Raw genomic sequence first — 26073 nt, 5'->3', positions numbered from 1 at the left:
CAAAGTTAAAGGAATTAGCAAACCAAGATGGAGACATTTGAAGAGTCAAAGAGATTAGCAGGCTGCAGGCCCCTGGGAATGCCTTCTGTGCTTCCACTGGGTCCCCAGTGAGACGTTTCTGCCCAGTTCTAGTCTGAAAACAAAGCACAGGGTTGGGCACACTGTGGGTGCCTAATCAACAAGGATGGGAAGGAAGGGCCAGCCCAGCAGACAGCTCACGTTCAGTTTATCCAGATTGGGAGGTAGGGGCTGAAGACTTACTTTGCCCCTTGCTTGTATGAGACTGCCTGGTTCCAAAAGTCCAGATGGAGGTGGGAGAAGCACACTGAATATCCATTCCTTTTCTCCCCCTACATGTTAAATCTTCATCCTCATTTCCTGTGGCCACCTAGCAAGTTAGGAACAGAGCTGGAACTCTAACCCAAGCCTTCCGATTGATTCCCAAGAATTTATCCATCCAACCAATATCTATCTAGTGCCAGCCTGCCATGTGGCGTGCCAGGCAGTGTTGAGACTCCAGGGTTATAGCAGTGAACAAAGAAGGCAAGATCACTGTCTCTTGGAGTTTATACCGTAGTTAGGAAGACAGTAAACTGATCAATATTTTCAGGTAGCAATAAGTCATGTGATAGAAAGCTGCTAAGGGGAGGGATGAGGATGAGGGCTATTAGAATACTCAGGAAAGGCCTTCCCAAGAAGGTAACATTAAAATTGACAGGCAAATGATTTTAGGGAGCCAGCCCTAAAGATGCAGAGGAACAGCGTTCAGGCAGAGGGAATAGCAAGTGCAAAGCCCCTGAGGAGGACACATCCAAGGGATGAGAGGGACTAACAGGGCCAGGTGTGGTGAAACATTAAAATGAATTTCATGAGTTAGGATTTGGACTGTGCAGGGCCTTCTAGACCATAGATAAGTTTGGATATACTGTGTGAGTAAGATGGGGAGGAGTAGGGTGGGAGGAGTTGTTGAACAGAGGAGTGACATTATCTGATTTACTTTTTAAAGGAATCCCTTTCTACTATGCAGAGAATACAGGGATGAGAAGAAGAAAAGAAGCCAGTTAGGAGGCTGTTGCAGTGGTTTTGGGAAAGAGAAGATGACTGCCTGGACTAGGATGGTGTATTAGTCAGCTATTATAATAATAATGCTGTGTAACAAACTACCCCAGAAGTCAATCTCTAGCAACAAGCCTTTATTCTCATGCTCACTTATCTGCAAGTTAACTACAACATGGCCCATGTAGGTTAGGCTTAGCTGGGAAGCCCTGCTCCAGACGGCATGCTGGCTGGGCTGGGCTCCATGCTGTGGGTTAGGCTCAGGGCTGCTCTGCATCTTTGTTCTGAGGCTTAGGCTGAAAAGGTGACAGCTATCTGGGGAAGCTCTTTTCATGGAGAATTCCTGGAGCACAAGAGCAAGATAAACAGCACTAGCCCAGTTGAGGTTTCTGTTCACAGCATGTCCACTAACATTCTGTTGTCCAAAGCAAGTCATTCATGCCCAGGGCAGGGAAGTTAATTCACCCTCGGTGGGAGGGGAAAGAGAGTGCATATGTGCCAAGTGATAACCAAACTATCATAGATGGCAAAGAAGGAGGGGAGAAGTTGGGAGAATTTAAAACTTGCTTGTGAGTTAAGCTGGCCAAATTCATGGTTGCGTTGGACCTAGGGTAGTACCATTGCACCAGCCACCTCAGCCCTCTCAGGTGCCTCCACTTGAATACTTCCATGACTGGGAGCTCACTACCTCCCTAGGCAACATTTCAGAGCAGTCCTACCAATGGCCGGGATGTCCTTAACTTGAGCCCAGATCTATTTGGTATCCACCCTATGCCCTGCTTCTTCTACCCTGGCTAATCTAGGCCCATCTTCCCTCTGCCCTATGAAGATTAGAGTCTTGCTATTGCATGCTGAACAGCTCAGCACCTGGGCCGTGGTCATGCAGGGCCCTGCTGAAGTGAAGGCTTTATTGGCCCTCCTTGGTTCTGTGGGAGGCTCCAGGTAAGCCTAGAGAATGCCTGCCTGCCACCTCCCTTCACCAGGGCTGTTTCCAGGCCTGGGTTTTTTACTGATAAAAATGGTGCATGCATGGTGAAAACAAACCCCACAGTGCAGAAGTACATGAAGTGAAAAGGGAACTTCTCCCTCTTTTTCCCCTCCCCCACAATCCCATTCCCCAGATATGTCCACTTTAATTATTTGGTATGCATTTTCCAGATCTTTTTCTTGTTTTTTCATCAAACTGTTTGTCTTGGAGATGTCCGCATGGGAGCATCCAAAGAACTGCCTCGTTCTCTTTGTTGTCTATCAGAGCCCAGAGTTGGACTGTGTCTATAATTGATTTGAATATGGTTGCTATTGATTGGTGTTTTGTTCTTATGGTATTAGGAACACTGCTGCAATGAACATCATTTATGTGTATTTTTGATGCACATGTGTAATTATTTATGAAGTTAGATTACTAGACGAGGACTTGAGGGCCAATTTAAAATTTTCTTGGTAAATCCAGCCTAACTGCCTCCACAAAAGACACAGCCCCCCACCAGCCATATGTAAGCATTGTACTTTATCCTGCTATTAGCATTATCTTAGAGCATGTTAGATTTTTTTTTCAGCTTCTTTATGCTCTTGACGCTAGGAAACTTGTGGTCAGTTAAGACTCCCAGATCATTTTTGCATGTACTAATGTGTATGGCAGCATCAGGCTCAGGGAGGACCTGTGATATGTGTAGCTTCCTGACCACACTCAGGAATCACTGCTGATGAGAGGCAGTGAAGAAGAAAGGAGAATGAAGGAGACAGTGATTGGGAGGAGGGGTGGAGGGAGTTCTTAACTGGGAGGGAGTTGGGAACAGAGAAGCCCAGCATCCAGTGTCCCATCAAGACCTTCATCCTATCCCTGTGGCATCCCCAGCCTGAGTCTGGACCGGCCTCCCCAGGTCCAGCAGGACAGGAGCTGGGGGCAGGACCCTTTTCCCCAGGCTGACGCAAATCTCCTGATTGCACTCAGACCACGCCATCGGAGGAGCCAGGCGGGCCCCAGATGCTGACCTCCCAGGCTCCGTGTGTAGATGGCTTCGAGGAGCCAGGAGCACGGCAGCGGGCCCTCAGCGCAGTCAGCGTCCTCACCAGCGCACTGGAAGGTCAGCAACCCCAGGTCATTTAAGCACCCCCCACTTCCGCTGCAGGTACCCTCATCTTTATCCCAGCCTGACCCAGGCATCCCCCATTTGTCTTGGCCTGCTTTAGACATCCCCACACTGTCCCAGCCTTCTCTGTTCTGTGTAGCCTTGCCTGTCCTTCCATGTCTTTTCATCTGTTTCAGCTTGTTCTCTCCTGGGTATCACCATGCCTGTGTTTCTCCCAAATACTCCCACATCTGGCCTGTCCCAGATGCTTGTCAGTCTCATTCCATCATCTCCCAACCATAACCATGTCTATCTAGGACCATCCTGTCCTGAGCATACCCATGCCTGTTCTAGCTATTCCCATATCTACTTCAGACTATTCCAGGCATCCTACATCTTTCCCAGCCATTCCTGCCCTAGGCAACTCCACATCCCTTCCAGTCTGAATGGGGCACCCCCCATCCTGATCTTGTTCCCTCCTATCTCGGATGTATTCTCATCTTTTCCAGCCTGTCCTTGGCATCCCCTCTCCCATTTGTCCTGACACATCCCAGATGTCCACATCTGTCCCTGCCCATTCTGTCCCAGGTGTCCTCGTGTCTGAACTTGCATGTCCCCATTACTGTCTCATCATTTTCAGCCTGTCCTCCCCTGAGTGTCCCCAGGTCTATGTGGGACTGTTGTCTTAAGCAGTTGTACGTTTGTCCTGATAATCTCTCCTGTCCCCATTTTCCCCACCTCCATCTTTGTTTCCTGTCCCTATGGACCTCTTCTCTCATATTTCCAGATTAAGGAGCCAGGACACAGGCCACCCACTCCCTTGGCCTTCCCTGCTCCCACTGTCCCGCTGTCACCTAGCAGCCCTGTCATCTCCCAGAGCAAGTCATAAATCTTTCCTGGAAGGTATTCCAGTTACATATGACTCAGTCAACAGAATCAAACTAACTCATTGGCTGTCCCCTCAGAGTTAGAGGAGTCTCGCCACAAGTGTCCACCATGCTGGAACCGTCTCGCCCAGCGCTACCTGATCTGGGAGTGCTGCCCGCTGTGGATGTCCATCAAGCAGGGAGTGAAGTTGGTGGTCATGGACCCGTTTACTGACCTCACCATCACTATGTGCATCGTACTCAACACACTCTTCATGGCGCTGGAGCACTACAACATGACAAGTGAATTCGAGGAGATGCTGCAGGTCGGAAACCTGGTAAGGGCTGCCTGCAGCTGGCTCTCAAATGGGCATCCTGGCAGGAGGGGACCTCGGGCAGCTGGCACAGCCTTCATGGGTAAGGAAGAAGGGATCCTGCACACAGAAGGATCTTTTGAGGGTGGGAATCATCATAGAGGACATCTTGGAGGAGGGAGGGAATCTCAGGGTCGGCTTCTAAGGAGCTGAGAAATGTAGATTTGGAGTGGGAGGGTGGAGTGAAAAGAAGTTTATGCAGATGCCCAGAATCTAGAAAACAAAAGTGAGCTGGGGGTAAACCTGAAATGTGTGGAGACTTGAGATTTTGTAATTTGTAGGTGGAGGAGAATGCGTGCAGAAGGAAGTAGTTCTCTTATGGACGGAGCTTGCATCAGTGTTGTTGGATGGGGGAAATTGTGGATGGATGGTTGGATAGAAGGAGGGAAGGATGGAGGGATGGATGGATGGATGGATGGATGGATGGATGGATGGACAGATGGATGGATAGCTGGGTGTAGTAAGTAAATCAGGCAGAGCCAGATTTGAATTCTGACTCAGCTCTTACTAACTAGCTGATCTCAAGCAGTTTACTCAGTAATTGGCCCAATAAATATTTGTTGAATTCAATAAATGTGAAATTAGTATGACAATATCAACCTCATAGGAAGGTAATGAGGACTGTATAAGATAATGTGTATAATATGCTTGGCTCATAGATTGATAAACAGTAAGCACTCAAAACAAATGATAGCTGTGCTATTGTTGTTGTTGTTAGACTGCTCCTGGAAGTCAGAATGTCTGGATTCTAATTCTGATTTTTTTTTTCTTGATACCAAATCAAGTCCTGCCTCTTTATTATACAGATAGGGAAACTGAGGCCCAGAGACAGGAGGGATGACATGGCAGGGGCAGAGTTGGTCATCTCTCAACTCCCAGGACAGGGCCATATTGGATCAGTCGAGGTAAACAGAGTCAGCCCATCTTTAGAGGATCCCAGGGCAGAGTTGCCATGATCCCACTGGCCTTAAAAAGGAGCTTGTGAGATCATCATCGAGGCTGGTGTGGGGGTGGTAGGGGGACTTCTGGCCCCATTTGATCTAAGCTTGTTCTTACTGAAGACCCAGCCTGTCTCAGGCCCAGCTGTTCAAGTGACCCCCCATAGGCAGGTAGGTCTCTCACACTGTGGGGTAGGAGGATTTTCTTTTCTTCTTACTTTCCAAACCCAGGACTCTAGGTAGTTCTCTGCAGGGCCTATTCAGATTTTTTCACCAATTTGAGTCAACTTGCTGTAATTTTACTTTTCTTTCCTTCTATGTGCAAACAGAAGGCAAAGCTACATCTCAGTGGGTAGAAGTCTCATGGCACTGTTGGAAATGTTGGGTGGTCTTCAGATGGTAGTTATGCAGGGTTTCAGTTGAGTGTGTTTTTATCAGGTTGTGACCATTGGGTTGGACTGAGCAGCAAGTTAGGTGTGATGAACAGCACTGGTGGCTTCACTGGGTCAGCAAGTTGTAGCTGAACTGCATTGTACTAAACTTGTCGTTAAAATATTGATAACAGGCAATGTAGTTGTGTTATAGCTATATTTTGTTCTGTTTGAATAGCTTTATTACTAATATGTAAGGTTTTGATTTTATTGCATTTAATATATTCTAGGTAGTTTAAATATTAAGTGTTAAGAAACAAAACCATAAAAATAAGCATGAGTAAATAATCAGCATGGGAAAAGCCTTTCTAAGCATGTCTCTGAAGACAAATTCCACAAAGGAGAAGACTGATAGATTTAGCTAACTTTTTAGCCCATCACACAAATAAAAGTAAAAGGCAAATGAAACTTCTGTTTCCAGCAACATTATGGACAAGAAAATCTGAAAAGTCTCCTATTAATAAACAATTTAAAATACAGGAAACATCCTTTGAATTACATAGCTAAGTGCATGAGAAAGTACAGTAGTTCCTCTTATCCACAATTTTGAAACCATGGAAACATGGTTTCAGTTACCCATGGTCACCCATGACGTGAAAATATTAAATAGAAAATTCCAGAAATAAACAATTCATTAGTTTTAAATGGCACACCGTTTTGAGTATTATGATGAAATCTCACACTGTCCTGCTCTATTCTGCTCCGGGACATGAATTGTCCCTTTGTTCAGCGTATCCACGCTCTATATGCAACCTATCCATTAGTCACTTACTAGCTATCTCTGTTATCAGGTAGACTGTTGTGGTATCACAGTGTTTGTGTTCAAGTAACCCTTATTTTACTTAATCATTATTCCCCAAAGCAGAATAGTAATGTTGCTGGCAATACGGATGTGCCAAAGAGAAGCCAAATATATGACAAAGAGAAGTTGTTAATCTCTTATTGTGCCCAATTTATAAATCAAACTTTATCAGAGGTATGTAGATTTAGGAAAAGGCATAGTATATACAGGGTTCAGTAATATCCATGGTTTCAGGCACTCACTAGGAGCCTTGTGGGAATGTATTCCCCGTAGATAAGAGGGGCTACTTTAACAGAAACCCCAAGTGCCAAAAACAAAAAGAAGCTTAAAAACCATAGCAGTAAACATGTGAAATGGCTCTGTGGTTGCTCTGGGTGGGGTGGGGAGGTGTTGATTTGCATAATCTGGAGGCTTGGATTTTAATGAGCATGTAGAGACAAGACATTCAACCTTGGGACAGTGTGAGTAGGGGTTGAAACTGAGTAGCCCCGTAAGGATATGACTATACATTCAGAAAAATGGTGAACCAGAAAAAACCTACACACAGGCCCTGGGAAATGATAAAGAATCCCTGTCTTGGCCAGGGCTGGAAAGGAAAAAAGTAACCCCTGAAAGGCTTGTGACTATGGATTTGGCCTTATACAGATTTGGGGTTCAAATTTACACCTGAGTAGTCCTGGAACCTACATCTAAAAAATTAACATAGAAAGTGATCCTAGAATGATGTCTTGGGGCCCCTAAAAGGGAACAAAACTTCTCTGGAAGGACACACCTTTAGCCTAGGTCAGGCTGGATTTCCCAAATTATAAAACACAGAAGGAAATATTCCACCATGAGGAAGAGTCAGCAGACATACACACACGCAGACACAATCAGGCTATCCCCTTAAAAATGTCACATAGTAGAACTGCTTGATAGAGATGATAAAAATGTTCATAATTGGCCAGGCGCGGTATCTCACACCTGTAATTCCAGAACTTTGGGAGGCTGAGGCAGGCAGATTGCTCGAGCTCAGGAATTCGAGACCAGCCTGGGCAACATGGCAAGACCCTGTCTCTACTAAAAATACACAAAAATAGCCGGGTGTGGTGGTGTGCACCTGTGGTCCTAGCTACTTGGGAGGCTGAGGTGGCAGGATCACTTGGATCCCCAGCGGGACCGAGATTGCAGTGAGCCAAGATCGTATCACTGCACTCCAGCCTGGGTGACAGGACCAGACTCTGCTCAAAAAAAAAAACACCTTCATAATAACTAAAGACATAAAATAAGGGATTAAAAACATAAGAAAATAATACAACTTTGAAAAAGAACCAAATAAAATCTCCAGAAATGAAAAATATAGACATTGAGATTAAAATTTCAATGTACGCATCAAATAGCATATTAATACAGTTGGGAAGATAATTAAATGATTGTAAATTTAGATCTAATAAAGTTGCCCCGAACGTAATATAGAGAGATGAAGAGAAGACATAGAAGAAAGAAGGAAGAAAAACATATCTGACATTATTTTCCAGATTATGTTGTTGTCTATTTAGATCATTTTAGAAAATCTACAGAGAGGCTGTTAGAACTAATACGAGAGTTCAACAATATTAGGGGGTACAGCCTCAGTATTCCAAGTAGTGTTCCTAGTCACCATCAACAATCAGCTGGAGAAAATAAATTTTTAAAGTTTCCACTTATGATCACAATAAAAACTATGAGAAATTTAGCAATAAATAGAACAAAAGATATGCAAATTTCATATGAAAAAATTATGAAACTGCCGAAAAACATAAAAGAAGACATAAAAGTAGAGCGATGTACCATTTTCATGAATGAAAGTATGAATATTGTAGGGATACAAATTCTTCCCAAATTAACCTATAAGTTCAATGTAATTCCAGTCAAAATCTCAATACTTTTTTTTAATGGAACTTGACAAGATAATCCTAAGACTCATATGGAAAAGTAAAGTAGATCAAGATAAATTAAGGACTAAGGTAGAGAATTTACCATAGTATGTTAAGATATCTTATAAAGCTAAAAATATTATAGTATTGGTGCAGGGGTGGAAAAACAGATTGTGCTACAGAATTGAGACCACAGAAATAGAACAATCCATATTTGGTGACTTGATAAATAACAGAGGTGGCATTATAAATCAGTAGGAGAAGGCTGGACGCAGTGGCTCATGCCTGTAATCTCAGCACTTTGGGAGGCCAGCCGAGGTGGGCAGATCACCTGAGGTCAGGAATTCGAGACCAGCCTGGCCGACATGGTGAAAGCCTGTCTCTACTAAAAATACAAAAATTAGCTGGATGTGGTGGCATGCACCTGTAGTTCTGGCTACTCAGGAGGCTGAAGCAGGAGAATTGCTTGAACCTGGGAGGTGGAGGTTGCAGTGAGCCAAGATCACGCCACTATACTCCAGACTGGGCAATAGAGTGAGACCCTATCTCAAAAAATAAAATAAAATAAAATAAAACAATCAGTAGGAAAAGGATGGGACTGTTTAATAAATGATGCTGGGAGAATGGTTATCTGCATGGAAGAAAATCAATTTAGATCCCTACCTCACATCACATTCATAAATTAGATGCAGGGGAATTGGACTTAACACCTAAATGTGATAAAGCAAAACTTTAAAGTTTTTAGAATAAAAACAAGCAAAAAAGCTTTAAGATCTTGGGATTGGGAAGGCCTTCAACAATCCAAAAAGCTTATATCATGAAAGAAAAGATTGCTAAATTATAAATTGTTAAAATTTATAATCTCTGTACAACAAGAGATGTTACAAACTAAGTGAACTCACTACCACAAACTGGAAATTGATATTATGATAAGTATTTAACCAGAAATACATGGAATCCAGGCAATATTGAAGAGTTACACATCAATAGGAAAAGAGGGATAGTGATAAAATGATAAAAACAGAACCACAACAATGGACAAAGGAAATGACAAGCAAATCACAAGAGGTAATTCAGATGGTTATAAACAAATGAAGAGAAACAGAGGAATGGAAATTAAAGCAACACTGAAATACTATTTTTTACCCTAACAGAATAAAAAATAGACTTCTGTGTGTTGACAGGGTTGTGGAACAGTGGGAACTCACAGCTTGTAAGAGTGTGGATTTGGTACAACCATTTTGGGGAGCAATTGAACAATATTTGGTAAATCACAGATATAAACTGTGTACCCTACAACTCAACAATTCCATATATATATATATCTTCTTAAGAAAGTCTCACACATCTGTACAAGGAAACATGTATAAGAAAGTTCTTTACAGTACTTTTAGTCATAGGGGAAACTGGAATCAACATAAATGTCCGTTAATTTTATAAAGTGGATAAATAAATTGTGGTGTACTCATACAATGAAATACTGTACACGATTAGAATGAATACTTATACATGTGTCAATAAATCTCAAACATGATGTTAAGAATAAAAGGAACAAAGAATAAAAAACATGTTAAGAATAAAAGAGAATATATAAAGCATAGCCTATTTACATAAAGTTAAAAGAATACAGAAATACTATGTGTTGTTGTTATATACATTAAAAATGTAAAAATGTGTAGAAATGATAAACATCAAATTTGGGATAGTGATTACCTTGGAATGAATATAGTACTATGGGTGGCTCCTGGTTTATCTGTGATGGCACATGATGGGTAAGAATTCATAGTGGAAGCCATCATTTGAATTACTGGTTTAACTCCTTTGTATCTCAGTTTCCCTATCTGTAAAATGGGGATAATAAACATTACATATCACTTACGGTTATTGTGAGGGTTAAATGGTTTAGTATATGTAAAACACTAGAACAGTGCCTGGCATACATCAAATGCTATTTAAGTATTTGCTATTTTTTTTTTTTTGGTAAGGAAAAAGAAAGCAAGATTTGAAACAAATATGGCATAATGTTAATATTCATTAGAGTTTGGTGGTGGGTGCACAGGTAATCATTTTATTATCCTATACTTAAAGTATATATCCTGAAATATTTTAAAATGTAAACAAATACAATAAAGGTAAATGACAAATCAGGAAAATTGTGACAATACAAATAGTACTAATAGACAAAAGGGTAATATCCTTAATATATAAAGTATGTTTATAAACCATATAAAAAAGCAAACACGTTAATAGAACAATTAAGAGCAAAGGATATGAACAGGAAATTTCACCAAATAAGAAGTACAAAATAAAAAGAAATGTCCAATAAAACAAGAGTGTCCTGTTGGATGAGAAAAGGTCATGGGAATGGAATACCCAGTGTTAGCATAGTTAAAGGGAAGCAGTTACTCACATGCAGCTTGTGGACTTGGTTAAAACCTTTCTCCTAGGATCATTTAGCACTATGTGTCAGAATCTCTAAAAACGTTCATTGACTACACAATTTCATCTCCAGAAATCTTTCCTAAGAAAAGAATTAGACAAGTTGTTTTAAAACAAGCACGTAAAAGGATATTTATTGTGGCAATGTTTTTAATAGGGAAAAAGGAATGACTATCACAGGGAAATGGCTAAACCAGTTATAGCACATCTGTACAGTGGAATGTGCCACAAATGTAAAAAAAAAAAAGAAAGAAAAAGAGTGATGCTGTAGATTGTGTTTAATTGGCATGGAAGGATGTTCATAAGGTATTATGTTTTAAATACAGGTTTGCAGTGCATGGAGTATGGTCCCATTAAAGTCATATGCCAAGGTCAAAGAGAATTTGGGGTTCCCCATAAGTTCCCCCAATTCCTGGAAAGCGGCCATTTGCACTCATTGCTCAGTGAACCTCCTGCCAGGAGTTAGGGGAAGTGGGTCACCATGCTCAGAGCCTCTATCTGCCAGATCCCAGTGAGCCTATAAAACATGCAGAGTTGTTTATATCTGAAGGCAGCCCCTGCCTGGGTCTGGAGCTCTTGGCCACTCTCAGCAATCATAATAAATGCTGCTGACAGTAACAATAATCGCCCTGTCATAGAGAGTATCCACTTTACAGCCATTAGCTGTAACTCCTAGAAACCTCCTATGGAGTTATTATTATCCCCATTTTATATATGAGGACACTCAAGGCTCAGAGAGATGAAGAAACTGGCCCAAGATCACACAGAGGCAGCCCCTGCTCTGGAACCCGGGCCTGGCCACAATTCTCTGCACATCTTAAACCATGAAGCTTTGATCGCATGGCCTTAGAAAGCCTGGCATGAGCCTGTGGAAGGAAGAGGTCTGTTACCAAAATGTATGTACTTCTCAAGCTTAGCTGCACATTAGAGTCACCTGGGAAGTTGTTGGGTTTTTTTTTTTTTTTTAAATCCCCACACCTGGGCTCCACTCCAGTCCAATGTAACTAGAATCTCTTGGATGCGACCCAGGCATCCATATTTTTAAAGCTCCCTAGGTGATTACAGAGTGCACCAAGTTTCAGAGCTCATGGTCAAAAACAGCACTTGAAGTTCGAATCCCAGGAACCTGGTCAAAATGTAGATTCTAATTCAGCAGGTCTGGGGCCTTGCAAGTTTCTGCATTTCCAAAGAGCTTCCAGGTGATGCTGTTGATCCCTGAAAATTCTTTTATCATTTCCCCGAAGGGCATTCCCCACGAGCCTCTCCTGTCTCTTTTTTCCTGAGTCCTAGCTCCACCTGATAACTGCCATCTCACCACCAAAACAGCTGAGAGCCTGCGCAAAGTGAGGTGCAGGGCTTTTCCTGAGCTCCATTCTCTAGAAATGAGCGTCGGCACTCATGGGTGCCAGACCCACCCTGGTGCACCCCGGCAGTGCTGGGGAAGACCAAAAGTGGGGGTCCAAGTGAGGCGCTACCCGGGCCCCACCTGTAGGAGCTCTCAGCAAAGCTGTGCAGGCTGTGCTGCTGAGTGAGGGCTCTAAGCACAGCTGTGTGTGTCTGAGGCTGGGTAGGGAAGGCTCCTGGAAGTCAAGCAGAGCAGCACGGAACAGGCAGGATATGGCGCACGGAAGGCCAAAGGCTCAAACATTTGTACATCTATTCAACAGATACTAGAGGACGACCTATGGGCTGGTTACCATTCCAGGTACAGTAGGGAAAGGTCCCTGCCATCACACAGCTTATCTTCTAAACAGAAGAGGCTCAATAAACAAATAGTTGTTAGATGGTGGCGTGAAGCAGAGGGAAACGAAGCAAGGATGAGGGATAAGGAATGTGGTGGGAGGGAGGCACATTTAAAGTTACCAGGACGCCCATGGATCAGGTGGCTCTGAAGGGAGTGAGTTATGCGGCTGGGGAAAGGCATGACCCGGGGAAAGGGAGCAGCAGCAAGTGCAAAGGCCCCGAGGAGGGAACAGCAAGGAACAGGCGTGGCTGGAACAGGAGAGCAACAGGCAATGGGGCTGGGGGTTGGAAAAGTTATGAAAGCAGGTTTGGGTGCTGGGGAGAGAAGCAGGTCTCAAGGCTGTCTCTCTACGTGTGAGGAATGCAAACTGAGGCTGGAGGATTTCAGGGTCCCTCCCTTTCCCAAGACCCGGCTGAGGGAGGAACAGTTCCCTCTGGGCACAAGCACTAAAGGGACCCCTGAAGTCAGGAGGGCTGGGCTGGTGGGTGGTGCCCTGTGTGGCAGTGCTGAGGAGCCCACCCACCTGCCCTCCCGGTGCCTCTCTCTGAGCCAACAGCATCCCGCTGCCCTCCAGCCCACCTCCACAGGGCCTCTTCTGAGCTGATGGTGAGAGGATGGCACTGGGGTGACCAGCAAATGCCTCTCCTAGCACAGAGCCCCGTCAGGGCGGGTGCCCAGACCAGAGTGACCTCCCCACCTGATTGCCAACCCCAGCGAGGTGCCTCAGCCATGCCCGTCTTTGACCCCCACCTCCTCACAACTGCTGCAGGCCTGACACTGTTCTCAGGGGTACTCTGGCCCTCTGGCTTTAGCCCTCCCCTCCAAAAGACCCTGAGTGCCTCCTCACTGCCCTCAGGACAGCCCCCCAACTCCTCAGCATGGTCAAGAGGCCCTGCGTACAGGACCCTGACTTCCTGCCATCCACACCGTCACAGAACATTCTCTCCTCTGGGAACCAGGCTCCCATCAATTGGCACACTGCAGGGCAGCTGGCACAGGTTTCTGGTCCACTGCACCATGGGATCCTTGACCACAGGTTCTGCCAGCCAAGGCTGGGCAGCTCAGGACGCGTAAGTCAATGAACCGGGCAGAGCTCAGCCTCTGCCCACTCAGGAATGTTCCTAGAAGAGAGAGGAAGTTTCCCTAAATTCTGAAGAGCAGCACTAGTTTCCTCTCCTCATTCTCAAACTTAATAGCTACATGACCCCAGACAAGTTACTTAACCTCTCAGTGCCTCAGTTTCCTTACCTATAAACTGCAGGCAATGATACTTCCTCATGGGGTTGTTGGATGAATCAAAAGAAACAACATGTGCAAAGTGTTGTGACCAGCACTTGGCACGTAGCCCTCAGGAAGCAATGGCTGCTGATTATCACAGTGGGCAGGGTCCAGCAGGTAGATGAGGAGGAAGGGCCTCCTGAGGAGCAGGAACAGCAAGGACAGAGGCCCTGGGTCAGGGGAGCCATGAGCATCGTGTTGATGCATGGATTTGGCATGTGATGGGTGAAAGCCCTTCCTGTGGACACACGGATCAGAAGTCTAGTGCGAGGTCATGTCACTGTCCATCGCAGGTGCCCCCTAGAGCTGTGAGTCTCTGTGGAGCCTGCGAAGGGCCCAGGCCATTCCTGAAGGCCAAGCTGGTGTGCCTGGTATGCTTGGTGAGCAGCTGCAAGGGCTGGGAGAGCAGGCTGGAGAAGAGAGCTGTCCCCAAGGGGCTGGGCCACAGCCAAGCAAACCCCTACTGGGAGCCTGGGCGCAATCAGAGCTGGCAGCCCTGGAGGGAGCCCCTGCCACAGCAAGAGTCAAGAGGCAGGTGCCCCTGCTGGCCAGGGAGTCTTTCCATCCCAAACAATTCCTGCTCCCTCCTCAGGTCTTCACAGGGATTTTCACAGCAGAGATGACCTTCAAGATCATTGCCCTCGACCCCTACTACTACTTCCAACAGGGCTGGAACATCTTCGACAGCATCATCGTCATCCTTAGCCTCATGGAGCTGGGCCTGTCCCGCATGAGCAACTTGTCGGTGCTGCGCTCCTTCCGCCTGGTACCTGGCTGGACCCACTGCATGGGGGATGGTGGGGGGTGTGGAAGGCTCGGCACAACCCAATCTGAGGTCATCACTTGGTCATCCCTACTTTGATCTGTCATGCCTTCACCCAACAGCCATTTGCTTGGTACCCCTGGATGCCTGGCCCAGTGCTGGTGAGGTAGGGGGTACAGAGGCAGGAAAGGCAGGAGACATTCTTCCAGAGGAGCAATTGTGGTGGCCATCAGGATGATTTGCAAAGCCCTTTGTGGTCCACAGTGAACCCTTTAGCCCTCACAGGATCCAGGAGTGGGGCTGGTATTACTACATTTCCATTTCACAGATGAGGAGACTCAGAGAGATGAGACGAATTTCCCACAGCCACATGGCAGATAACAGAGGGAGCTGGGCTGCTAACTGCTCATCCGAGGTTCTGCCTGCTGCTTTCTGAATCAGCATCTTTAAAATATTAATGCACACACAAATCACCTGGGGATCCTGTTAAAATGCAGATGCTGATTCAGTCGGTCTGAGGTGATGTCAAAGCTGCTGGTCTGTGGACCACACTTGGAGCTTGAAATGCTTGAGAGGTCCAGACATGGGGTGGGAGGTATAGTCAGGGAAGGCTTCCTGGAGGAGGTCCTGAGCACTGTGGGTTGCTGCACATACAGTGGATGGGAGTGGGGTCGGGGGAGTGTGTAGGAAGGCAGGACGGTGGGGGCAGGAGGGAAAGCCAAGGCCGTGGGTTCTAATCCTGACTCAGCTGCTATGAACCAAGGGACTTAGACAAGTTACTCCACCTGTGAGGGTTGGCAGCTTCTTCTGTCAAATGAGGTAATAGCGGTGCCAACCTCATGTGGTTATTGGGAGTTCTGATTGAGTTCATCCATTCTAAGCACAAGGCCTGGCACGTAGACATTCAGTAAGTGTTAAGCACCTTCCCCCCTTTCTCTGTGATGACTGGGAGGCAGAGGTGACCAGTCAGAGATGGTTTGAGCTGTCCCAAAGGATACCTGATGAGGACAGGTGTGAAAGAGCAAGGACATTCCCTGTTGGGAGAATCTAGTGGGCAGTTCCTGGAAGTGAGGCCAAGGCAGAGAGGAGGCTGGTGTGGGGACAAAGAGAAGGGCTGAGTTGGGAAGGTGAGGCTGGAGCTGTTGACCTGACTCCCAGAGCAGTGCCCAGTGAAGCTGCCCTCAGGCTGTGGAGAGAAACAGTAGTGGGTGCTCTGGGAGAAATGGCGGGGGGGGAATAGGTGTCAGTGCCCTCCAAGGGCTCCTTGGGCTTTCAGGCAGGAGCTAGAGAGAGTGAGGGTGCCCATGGGCAGCAGGAGCCAGAGCCCTTCACAAGGTCCCCTCCTCTTCCTCCTTCCCCAGCTGCGGGTCTTCAAGCTGGCCAAATCATGGCCCACCCTGAACACACTCATCAAGATCATCGGGAACTCAGTGGGGGCACTGGGGAACCTGACACTGGTGCTAGCCATCATCGTGTTCATCTTTGCTGTGGTGGGCATGCAGCTCTTTGGCAAGAACTACTCGGAGCTGAGGGACAGCGACTCAGGCCTGCTGCCTCGCTGGCACATGATGGACTTCTTTCATGCCTTCCTCATCATCTTCCGCATCCTCTGTGGAGAGTGGATCGAGACCATGTGGGACTGCATGGAGGTGTCGGGGCAGTCATTATGCCTGCTGGTCTTCTTGCTTGTTATGGTCATTGGCAACCTTGTGGTAAGTTGGCCAAGGGCCACACACACACCATCCACTCATCTACCCAGCTACCCACCCATCCAATTATCCATTTACTTACCCTTCTATCAATCCATCTACCCATCCGTCCATCCATCTATTCATTTACCCACCTTTCCATCTAACTACTCACTCATTTATTTCACCTACCCCCCCCATGCACTCACTTACCCATCCATCTATGTACTTATCAACAAACCATCTATTCAATGTACCCATTTATTCTTGCACCTATATGCTCATACAGCCATCTATCTATTGATCATCCACTTATCAATCACCCACCCACCAATGAACACACCAATCTATCTGTTCACCACTCCAGCAATCAGAAGGATCAGTAGATTCTTCCCCAGTTACCAAACCACCCATCCATTTATCCACTCATTCACCTTGTCATTCATCCACCAACCCACTTTTACTCATTCACTCATCCTTTCATTAATCTGCTTATCAGTCACCTATTCATCAACCCCTATTCACACATTTATGCATCCATATGCCCATTCATCTATGTACCCACCCATTCACTTACACAACCATCCATCCCTCCCTTCATCCATCAACCATCTGTCCACTCACCCAACCATTCACTCCTCTACTCATTCATCCACCTCCCATCTATCAACTCACCATTCACTCATTCACCAATTCCATCTATCTACTCATCTATCTATCCAGTTGTCTACTTACTCACTCATTGACCCATCCATCCATTCACTCACTCACCGCATTTTTTTTTTTTTTGAGACTGAGTTTCACTCTTGTCGCCCAGGCTAGAGTGCAATGGCGCCATTTCGACTCACTGCAACCTCTGCCTCACAGGTTCAAGTGATTCTTCTGCCTCAGCCTCCCTAGTAGCTGGGATCACAGGCATGTACCACGCCTGACTAATTTTTTGTATTTTTAGTAGAGACGGGGTTTCACCATGTTGGCCGGTCTGGTCTCAAACTCCTGAGCTCAGGTGATCCGCCACCTCGGCCTCCCAAAGTGCCGGGATTACAGGTGTGAGCCACTGTGCCTGGCCTCTTCACTGCATTTTGCTCATTCATTCATTTACCCACTTACTTACCTATTTATTCATTATTTACTCATTCTGTTTTCATTCATTTACTTATCTGTTCATCTACCCATTATTTTACTGTCATACACTATCAATGAATTATCACATGTTTTTTCAATTTATCTTAAACATTTTCTAAGCCCTTATTGCATGGAAAACATTGTGCCACATGCTGTTGGGAATACAGAGGCAAATGAGGTCTAGCGCCAGCCCTGACATCATTCACCAGCTTAAGAGATTATTGGGGAGGTAGAGAGTTCAAACAGGCCTGAAATAACTCTCAGACTAGTCAGAGTGATCAGAACCATTAAGGAGGAGACCATGGTACTGTTCCCATTCAGCTAGGAAAATCAAGGAAATCTTTCTGGAAGAGATTTTGGAGCTGACCTGATAAACAGGCAATGCTGAAGAGGGAAGGAACAGGATGAGCAAAGCACAGGTGCAGACAGGTGGTGGTCCAGGTAAGGTGGGGCCCATAGGAGCTTTATATGTCACCCTGAGTAGCGTGGTAGGAGTCTCTGCTGTCCCATCATGAGGGGCCCACACCTTTGCTCCTGTGGGTACCTGTCTGTCCTTGGGCAGGTGCATCTCGTCTTGTGTCTTTCCAATGTGGGGAATTCTGGAACTGAGAAAAGCCAAAATTTAAATACCAGAGAAGGCACCTTAGGAAGAGGGAAGGTTGGGGTCGTCAGTGGTTCAGGCAGCAATCCGTGTCCGCTGTGGACATGAAGCCACCTTGCTGGGTACACAGTTGGCCCACACATGCTCAAGAAGCATACCTGCATTGTCTGGCTCGCACCTGTAGCTGTATGTCTCTGTCGTGGGCAGTGCAGTCACATCAGCTCACAGAGAGGTTTTACATTCACTTTTTCAGGCTGCTGTGGGGCAAGTACTATGGGCTATAGATTCCAGAGCCTTTCCCCAAACCTGTCTGCTCTCTTCTCCCATGTGCCTTATCCAGGCCAGGACAGGACAGGCCAATCTGGGAGCAGTCTGCCACCAGCCCATGAGCCCAGAGGCCAGAGGAGTGCAGAGCCCAGAGAGAGAGGAGCCAGGGCATCAGTGCATAGTGCCACTAGAACCCTGCTCTTTGGCTGGCCCCCAACTCCCCCTTATGTCCCCCCAAACTAGCTATCCCTTGGGGTGAAGGGTTGCTCAGCCCATCCCAACCCCAGGGCCTACCAGACTGTCTATTCTGGGGAGAATGAGAATTGCCAAGCACTCAGCCCAGGGCCAGGCTGAGCCACCCCTCACACACGGAGCCCTGCGATTTCCCAGCAGATCTGCCTGGGGATGAGAAAATTAGAGGCTGCTGGAGGAGGGAGCTAATGCCAGCCCACACAGCCCCCTCCCCAGCCGCCTAAGGAATTGGGCCGCTGCCAGGCGTGGGAGGAAGCAAGATTGCCATTGAAATGGGAAGTGATGATCAGGCAGGGCTGGGAGCAGCAGCAGCACGATTGATGGGGAAAGCACTGGAAGAAGCTGAACTTCTGAAGCCAGCGACAGGGAGGGCCCTAGACTCTGTGGGTGGGCATGGCTGCCCAGGTACCCACACCACCCGCCCTACTCCCAGCCTAGGCCCAGGACTCCTGGAGGTTGGGGGATGCAGGGCCTGGTGTGAGTGAGGCTGTGGGGGAAGGATCCAGTGGGCATCCTTCCTGGGAATGGAGGTGGCCATGCCTGGGTCCTTGTGGACAAAGGCCAGGGACCAGGCCCGAGGTCGGTGTAGATAGCAGCTCAGAATGGTATCACATGCCTTACCCCTAGTGCCAAGTGTCAAAAGTGATCATCTCTCCGTAGAGATAGTACGGGAGAGGCTACCTCTTCACCTTCTGTACATATTCCACATGAATATGTATTACTTTTAAGCCAAAGGCATGTTTCTGAGGCCGCTTTTATCAGAATTCTCATTCCCAGCTTGCTGATAGGTATGGGGTCCCTGGTAGAGGTGTGTTTTAGAGGCTCTTGAGAAACCGGAACAGAGTCTCAGAGTGGATTTCCAAAAAGAACTGTGCACCCACCCTCACACACCACCCTGCTATAAAGGTGCTGGGAGGGAGGAGACACCAAGCCCATGGTGGCCTGGCGGCCTGGTGAGCCATGGGCCAGTCTGACCCATGCATGTGGGAATCGACCCACCGTCAGCTTAACTGACCCTCCATGTGACTGGGAAATGGACACAAGCCCAGCCGCTTGTCACACATCAAAGGCCTTCTTTTTAAACAAAAGCTAAAGCTTCACACTTGCAGGAGGGCTTAACGACAAGCAATTCTCCAGAACCATCCAAAGGCAGAGGGTTATGCAAACCCCCTTAAGAAGTCTCAAGTCCCTAAGCCCTGATGATAGACCTCAACAAAATACTGCGCCCTGTGGAACCTCCGACACTGCCACCTCCCCCGGCTCCCTGCAGAATAGCAGGCCTTGACCTTCACACAGCACCCTTCCTAGCACCCCTCACAGCCTAGACATGGTCAGCTCTCCATGTCCTGACCCCATGATTAGTCCAAATGCCTGAAGGCTGCCTGTGCCTTCCTGACCTCTTTTCCAGCTATTGCACCTTTCTCTGCCCTGTCCCAGCGTCCCTCACCTGGAAAGTGTGGCAGACCTGGGCCTCAGGTAGTGTGTGCCCTACAGCAGCAGCCCCAGGCCTCTGAGCACCAAGCTGGCTTCAATAGGGAACTCAGAGGCAGGTCACTGCTCCTCCTCTTTCCAACAAAGTCCCAAAAGCTCTGTGTGGCTTCTCGGTGGGATTCTGTCTTGTCCCTGGACTCACACTTCCCAGGAAGGAGACCTGTGCCCATCCTGACCCCACTGCCCCTCACTACTCCTAAGGCAGCAGGAAGAGGTAAAGGGAGAAGAAGGCTTGCATGTAGAAGCCGCTGGTGCCAAGACAGGGCTCAATGTGTGTGACTTTGTGCTAGCCCCTCGCTTTGACACTGAATGCACGCATAGTTCTCCCATTGAACCTGAGCCAGGACACGACATCCTCAATTCAGACTGTGTCTGGGCCCTTGGAAAGAGGGATTCAAATTTGTATTTTCTTTTATAGCCAAACCTTCCACATTCAATAAAATGAGGGGTTAGGATGAGGGCTCAGGGCCCTGGATTCAAGCCTCGGAGCTGTTTGTCACAGGCAGTCTTAAAGGTCTCTGGGCCTCAGTTTCCCCATCATAGAACTGGGACTGGATGGCTTGGCATGGTGCAGTGCCTTGGTGAGCCTGACCCATTATCTCGACAGGTCCTGAATCTCTTCCTGGCCTTGCTGCTCAGCTCCTTCAGTGCAGACAACCTCACAGCCCCTGATGAGGACAGAGAGATGAACAACCTCCAGCTGGCCCTGGCCCGCATCCAGAGGGGCCTGCGCTTTGTCAAGCGGACCACCTGGGATTTCTGCTGTGGTCTCCTGCGGCAGCGGCCTCAGAAGCCCGCAGCCCTTGCCGCCCAGGGCCAGCTGCCCAGCTGCATTGCCACCCCCTACTCCCCGCCACCCCCAGAGACGGAGAAGGTGCCTCCCACCCGCAAGGAAACACGGTTTGAGGAAGGCGAGCAACCAGGCCAGGGCACCCCCGGGGATCCAGAGCCCGTGTGTGTGCCCATCGCTGTGGCCGAGTCAGACACAGATGACCAAGAAGAAGATGAGGAGAACAGCCTGGGCACGGAGGAGGAGTCCAGCAAGCAGGTGGGCCCTCACCCCTGCATGTATAAGGCACCTACATATACAGGGCCCAGAGCTCTGCTGTCCGGGCCACCCAGCCTCTCTCAAAGCAGCTTCCCCTCCCAGACTGCCTTGGCAGTGGGTAGGGGTAGAAGGCAGGCCCTCCCCACAACAGCCAGCCTCTCAGAGGGGTGCTGAGACCAGCCCTCAACCCTCCCTTCCTAACTCAGTCCAGAAGCTGACCTGGGGAGGGGCTGCTATCCACCACTCATGCCCTGGCTGGGCATGGGGAGCTCATTGTACAGACAGGGAAACGGAGGCATGGCAAGAGAGACTTGCTGGGTGTTCCTCATGAGTTTAGAACAGAGCCTCTAGCCCCCAGTTCCCACACTGACCATTGTCCCCCCTCCAGGACTGGCAAGGTAGAGTGTCTTGGCGAAAGAGAAGTATGGTTTTCTGACCTCCAGACTGCCCCTTCCCCTCCTCCCACACCCAGGGCTCATTCTGAGATTTAAAAATAAGCATCCCTAAGACTGAGGTGTCAGGGACAGCACTATCTTATCTCGCAACCTGTTATTTTTAACACTTGGGACCAGAGTCTGCACAAAGCAGGCAGGGCCCACCCCTCCCCTCCCCTCCGTTCTCCCTTGGCCTGAGCCAGGCTCAGATGGCTTCTTCTCAGGGCTTTAGGTCAAGCCCCCAGGAGTGTTCTCCCTGTTGAGTCAGGCCCATCTTGGCTGCTTCCTCTGGGCCTGCACTGGCTGGGCCTGGCTGTGGAGAGCAGCTGCTCCCCATGTGTGGAACTTGATCTAAGGCTCTGGGCTTGGTTTCACATCCTCCTGCCTCCCTGTGGTCCCAGAGGCCACCCTTTCAAGTCAGGTTGCGGGGCAGTGGCAATGTCTGCTCAGGGAGAGGGAGTGTTGGTGTTGCCAGGACCACAGTTTCCAATGATCTCCAGCACAGGAGGGGAATTCCGGCTGTCTCTCATTTCCCTTCTCTGTTCCTTCTCTTGAGCCCATTGACTCTGGCTCCTGGGTGTGTGTGGTGTGTGTGGGGGTGTGTGTGTGTGTGTGCGCGCGCGTGCGCGCACGCAAGCCGGGAGTGCCACAGGGATTCATGAGGGAAGTCAGTGTGACCTTCCTAAGTACAGTGGCCAGCATTTGTGAGCTGGGCATCGTGGCCCAGCTGCACCCTTCCAGGGAGTCTGGGGAGGGGGAGTTATGCCAGGCCGGCCAGGGGCTTCCTGTCTCTAGGCCCTTTGCTTGGACCTACCAGGAGCCTCCCACCTGCCTGCTCAGGCCCCTTGAGGGAGGAGTCTTCAGTGAGATGGAGGCCCCATGAAGACAGCTGGAGGCAATGCCCCAGATGCATGGGCAGGGTCTGAAACCCCCAGGGTCAGGGCCCTGGAGACCCTCTGGCTGGGTGTGTGGACTCAGCTCATAGGCTGGGGTCTTTTCAGCAGGAATCCCAGCCTGTGTCCGGTGGCCCAGAGGCCCCTCCGGATTCCAGGACCTGGAGCCAGGTGTCAGCGACTGCCTCCTCTGAGGCCGAGGCCAGTGCATCTCAGGCCGACTGGCGGCAGCAGTGGAAAGCGGAACCCCAGGCCCCAGGGTGCGGTGAGGTAATGCATGCCTTTGTCCCTGAAGCCAGCTGGGCGCCGCTGCTTGGGTCAGAGCCAGGCTGTGAGAGGTGCATGCCTGCATTTGCTGTTGGGAGCCACAGCCACTGTCACAGGCAGCGTGGAAGACCAGTCTGCAGAGGGGAGGGTGGGCATCCCTGTCCTGACAGGGGAGAGACGGTACAGGGCCCAGGGCCAATGGGAAATTCTGGAAATTCTGGTCCCAAACTCTGATGCAGGACTAACCCACTACCTCCATGTGTTCACCCTCTCCACATACTCCATCCCTGTGTTTTGGTCCTGTTTGGCAAATGTTTGTCCTGTGAATCTCCCCATCCAAAGAAGACTTCAGGAGGCTGGGCACGGTGGCTCACGCCTGTAATTTTAATACTTTGGGAGGCCGAGGCAGGTGGATCACTTGAGGTCAGGAGTTCGAGATCAGCCTGGCCAACATGGTGAACAGGTTACCCGCCTGATTCTGTAAGCATTGGAGTTCGCAACCCCTGAGCAAAAGGCTTGTGGCATTGCTGACTAAGCCGCCCAGCCTCACTCACATCTAGCCCACGGAAGGTGGAGGGCACGTGTTCAGAGTGCTTGGTGGCCACTGTCCTGCAGCTTGACCTCACTCCGTCCAGCACTTGTGCCTTCTCCTCTTTTGTGAGATGGGCCCATGTGAGCTTTGCAAGCATGGTCAGTTTTTGGAGCACAAGGGCCTACTGGAGTCATCTTCCTGACTGTGCAGATCACGGTTCTTCCCCTGATGGTCTGAGCTGTGAAGGCATGTGGGGACAGGAAGACACAGGAGAGAGGCAAAATGCCATGGGAGAGAAGTGGCTCTCTCACACGGATGCTAACCTTTGAATGAATTTTATAAGTCTTCCTTTCTTCAAATCAGTTCATGGGGGAGCCTATATAAGGAGAAACAGGCTGGAGTTTTCCCGGGAAAGGGACTCCCTCGTCTCACCTGCAGTAGGACCTGAGAACGTGTCCTCTCACATGACAGCCCCATGGACTTCAGACGGCTCCAGTGTTTGGAAAGAAAAAATAAGCATGCTGCTCTCCTCTGGCCTGCCCCTTTCATCACCCAACTCCTTTCATCCCCCAGCTGAGCTAGGAGGAGAGGGGAAGGAACCCTCAATGCCATGGGGGACCACAAAAGACTGAGCCTCACCTCTCTGGCCAAGGATCCACCTTCTCTGAGCAGTAGGCTCTGTTTTCCCTCCAGAATCCACCCCTTTCCCATCACAGATCTCAAAAATGGAAAAGAAGCCCCTGAGACATCAGCAGATTGATTCATCAAAGGAAAAGAGAAGAGAGAAGGCAGCTGTAGGAGCATAGCCATGCCCAAGAATTCAGACAAGCCCCTCTCTAAATGGAGCCTGAGCCTGAGATGATGTGAGGCGGGGGCAGCGGAGATGGGGTCTTTGGACCTGACCTGATGCAAACGATGGATTTTCTTCCTTCACTGACACTCCTCCCCTGACGTACCGTTCCCTAGAAGCAGAGGGATTCCTATGCAAATGACTTGTTGAGGGGTGTTCTCAGGAGAAAGTAAGAGAAACAGGATGAAGCAAAGAAGGAAGCTACGGAAAGGCTTTCCAGCTGGAGTCAGCCTCATCCTGTCCCAAGTAGAGCTCTGGGGCATGAATTGCACCACAGCATTGCCCCAACTCAAGGCTAGGGGCTGGCCTTCTGTATTCTTGTATCAGTGGCTGCTGGGCACCGGCCACCCCTTGGGACGGCAGTCCCCCAGCTGAAGATGATTTTCTGGAGGAGGGCCAGCTAAGCAGCTAGCATTCAAGTGGCTGGGAATGGGTGCAGTGGTCTTATGTAGTGGAATTGGGCAGGGTACCCACAGTGGCCCCTGTAACACCCCTTTACACCCACACCCACAAGTGACACACACAGACACTCACAAGGGCACACCTGCATGCACATGCCTCTCTGTAGCCTCCCTATAATCAAGTTATTGAGGTCAGGGCAGCAGACTTGCAAGGACAGGAAGTGGAGGGCTCCATCACCTTCTCAGTCTCCGGGCTCTGTCCAGCACACCAGAACCCACGGGAACTGCGCAAAATGTGTGGGTGGGGTTGCTGGCCTGTTCTCTGCGGTCTGACCTTGCTGCCTGTGTGTTGCCCGGGATCCTGGTTCTGACTCTGTTCTGGATGTGACATGCCTGTTTCCACTGTGTGTGCCACACCACCACGATGTGTCCATGTCCCACTGTGTGTCCAGGTTGCTACCCCATGTCCGTTTTGCTCCCAGCTAGATGCAGTCCCCATCCCCAGTGGCTTCCCAGAGCTCTTTCACAGCCCCCACACCCCAGCCTTAGACTCCAGCAGACCAGAATCACAGACCCGGGAACCCCGAGGTCCAGCCTTGGCCCAGCCCTGACAGGCAAAAGTGGCTCTGTGCAGGTCCCAGGGTGCGTCATGAAGATGCTGCCTCCCTTCAGGGAGCCCTAAGCTCCTGCAGACTCTGGGCTCGAGGCCAAAGGCTGCTACTCAGCCCACACTCACACCCTTTCCCACCCTGTCCCACACCCCTGTCCATAGACCCCAGAGGACAGTTGCTCCGAGGGCAGCACAGCAGACATGACCAACACCGCTGAGCTCCTGGAGCAGATCCCTGACCTCGGCCAGGATGTCAAGGACCCAGAGGACTGCTTCACTGAAGGTAATGGCCCGGGCAGCCCTCTGCCCTAGCCTCAGTTCCACCCAGAGGGGACAGGAGGACCAGCAGCTCCTTGGAGCCCAGGGCCACGTGGCACCAACACCCTGCCTTAGATATCTGCCCACCTCCTCCATTCCTCTGTGACCCTGGGGGTTCCTCCATCTGCCTGACGTGTCTGCCCATGGAGTGCTGGGCTGGACAGCTGCACCAAGGACTGGAGACACTGTATTTGTGGTGTGTTGGCACCACTGTATGCCCAACAGCAGTAGGGTCTGGGTCTAATTCGCTCCTGTACCACCAGGCCCTGGCACGGTGCCTGACACATAGTAGGCCCTCTGTAAATCCTTGAGGCAGGGATGACATGTGGCCATGTTGATTGGCATCTATAGCTTTTATGGATTGGTGGTATATTTGGAGGATAGCTGGGGATAAAATGAGCTGGGGATAAAATAAGCTTGGCCCGGCACGGTGGCTCACACCTGTAATCCCCACTTTGTGAGGCTAAGGCAGGTGGATCACCAGAGGTCAGGAGTTCAAAACCAGCCTGGCCAACATGGTGAAACCCCATCTCTACTAAAAACACAAAAAATTAGTTGGGCGCGCTGGCAGGCACCTGTAATCCCAGCTACTCAGGAGGCTGAGGCAGGAGAATCTCTTGAACCCGGGAGGCGGAGGTTGC

At 49.0% G+C, this 26073-nt stretch overlaps 1 protein-coding gene across 10 annotated transcripts in view, besides 3 other annotated features; it reads left to right on the top strand.

The window, feature by feature from the left end:
- SCN5A (sodium voltage-gated channel alpha subunit 5) overlaps positions 1 to 26073 on the top strand; it is a 101626-nt gene that overhangs the window by 47630 nt on the left and 27923 nt on the right. For 4 of the 10 annotated variants that reach the window (NR_176299.1, NM_198056.3, NM_001099405.2 and 1 more), the window contains exons 13-19: positions 3008 to 3140; positions 4091 to 4329; positions 14485 to 14658; positions 16017 to 16367; positions 20687 to 21127; positions 22563 to 22724; positions 25277 to 25397. Coding sequence is in view for 9 of the 10 variants with exons in the window: in NM_198056.3 (NP_932173.1) it covers positions 3008 to 3140; positions 4091 to 4329; positions 14485 to 14658; positions 16017 to 16367; positions 20687 to 21127; positions 22563 to 22724; positions 25277 to 25397 (1621 nt within the window). In the remaining variant the exon portion in view is untranslated. Of the gene's footprint in view, positions 1 to 3007; positions 3141 to 4090; positions 4936 to 14484; positions 14659 to 16016; positions 16368 to 20686; positions 21128 to 22562; positions 22725 to 25276; positions 25398 to 26073 lie in introns of those variants that run through there. The other 6 variants (NM_000335.5, NM_001354701.2, NM_001160160.2 and 3 more) reach the window with 3 other exon arrangements.
- Positions 19321 to 20304: an enhancer, noted in NCBI's record as "NANOG-H3K4me1 hESC enhancer chr3:38623245-38624228 (GRCh37/hg19 assembly coordinates)". NCBI's record gives its function as "activates a minimal SCP1, AML or CMV promoter by ChIP-STARR-seq in naive H9 embryonic stem cells {active_cell/tissue: H9 hESC(naive)}" and the evidence as "EXISTENCE:reporter gene assay evidence [ECO:0000049][PMID:30033119]".
- Positions 20562 to 23696: an enhancer, noted in NCBI's record as "VISTA enhancer hs2177". NCBI's record gives its function as "enhancer in: heart[12/13]" and the evidence as "EXISTENCE:transgenic organism evidence [ECO:0001131][PMID:17130149]".
- Positions 21271 to 21771: an enhancer, noted in NCBI's record as "H3K4me1 hESC enhancer chr3:38621778-38622278 (GRCh37/hg19 assembly coordinates)". NCBI's record gives its function as "activates a minimal SCP1, AML or CMV promoter by ChIP-STARR-seq in primed H9 embryonic stem cells {active_cell/tissue: H9 hESC(primed)}" and the evidence as "EXISTENCE:reporter gene assay evidence [ECO:0000049][PMID:30033119]".

This window comes from Homo sapiens, chromosome 3, assembly GCF_000001405.40.
Source record: "Homo sapiens chromosome 3, GRCh38.p14 Primary Assembly".
NCBI lineage: Eukaryota > Metazoa > Chordata > Mammalia > Primates > Hominidae > Homo > Homo sapiens.
The sequence above is the reverse complement of the archived record's forward strand: the minus strand, read 5'-3'. Positions and strand labels throughout refer to the sequence as shown.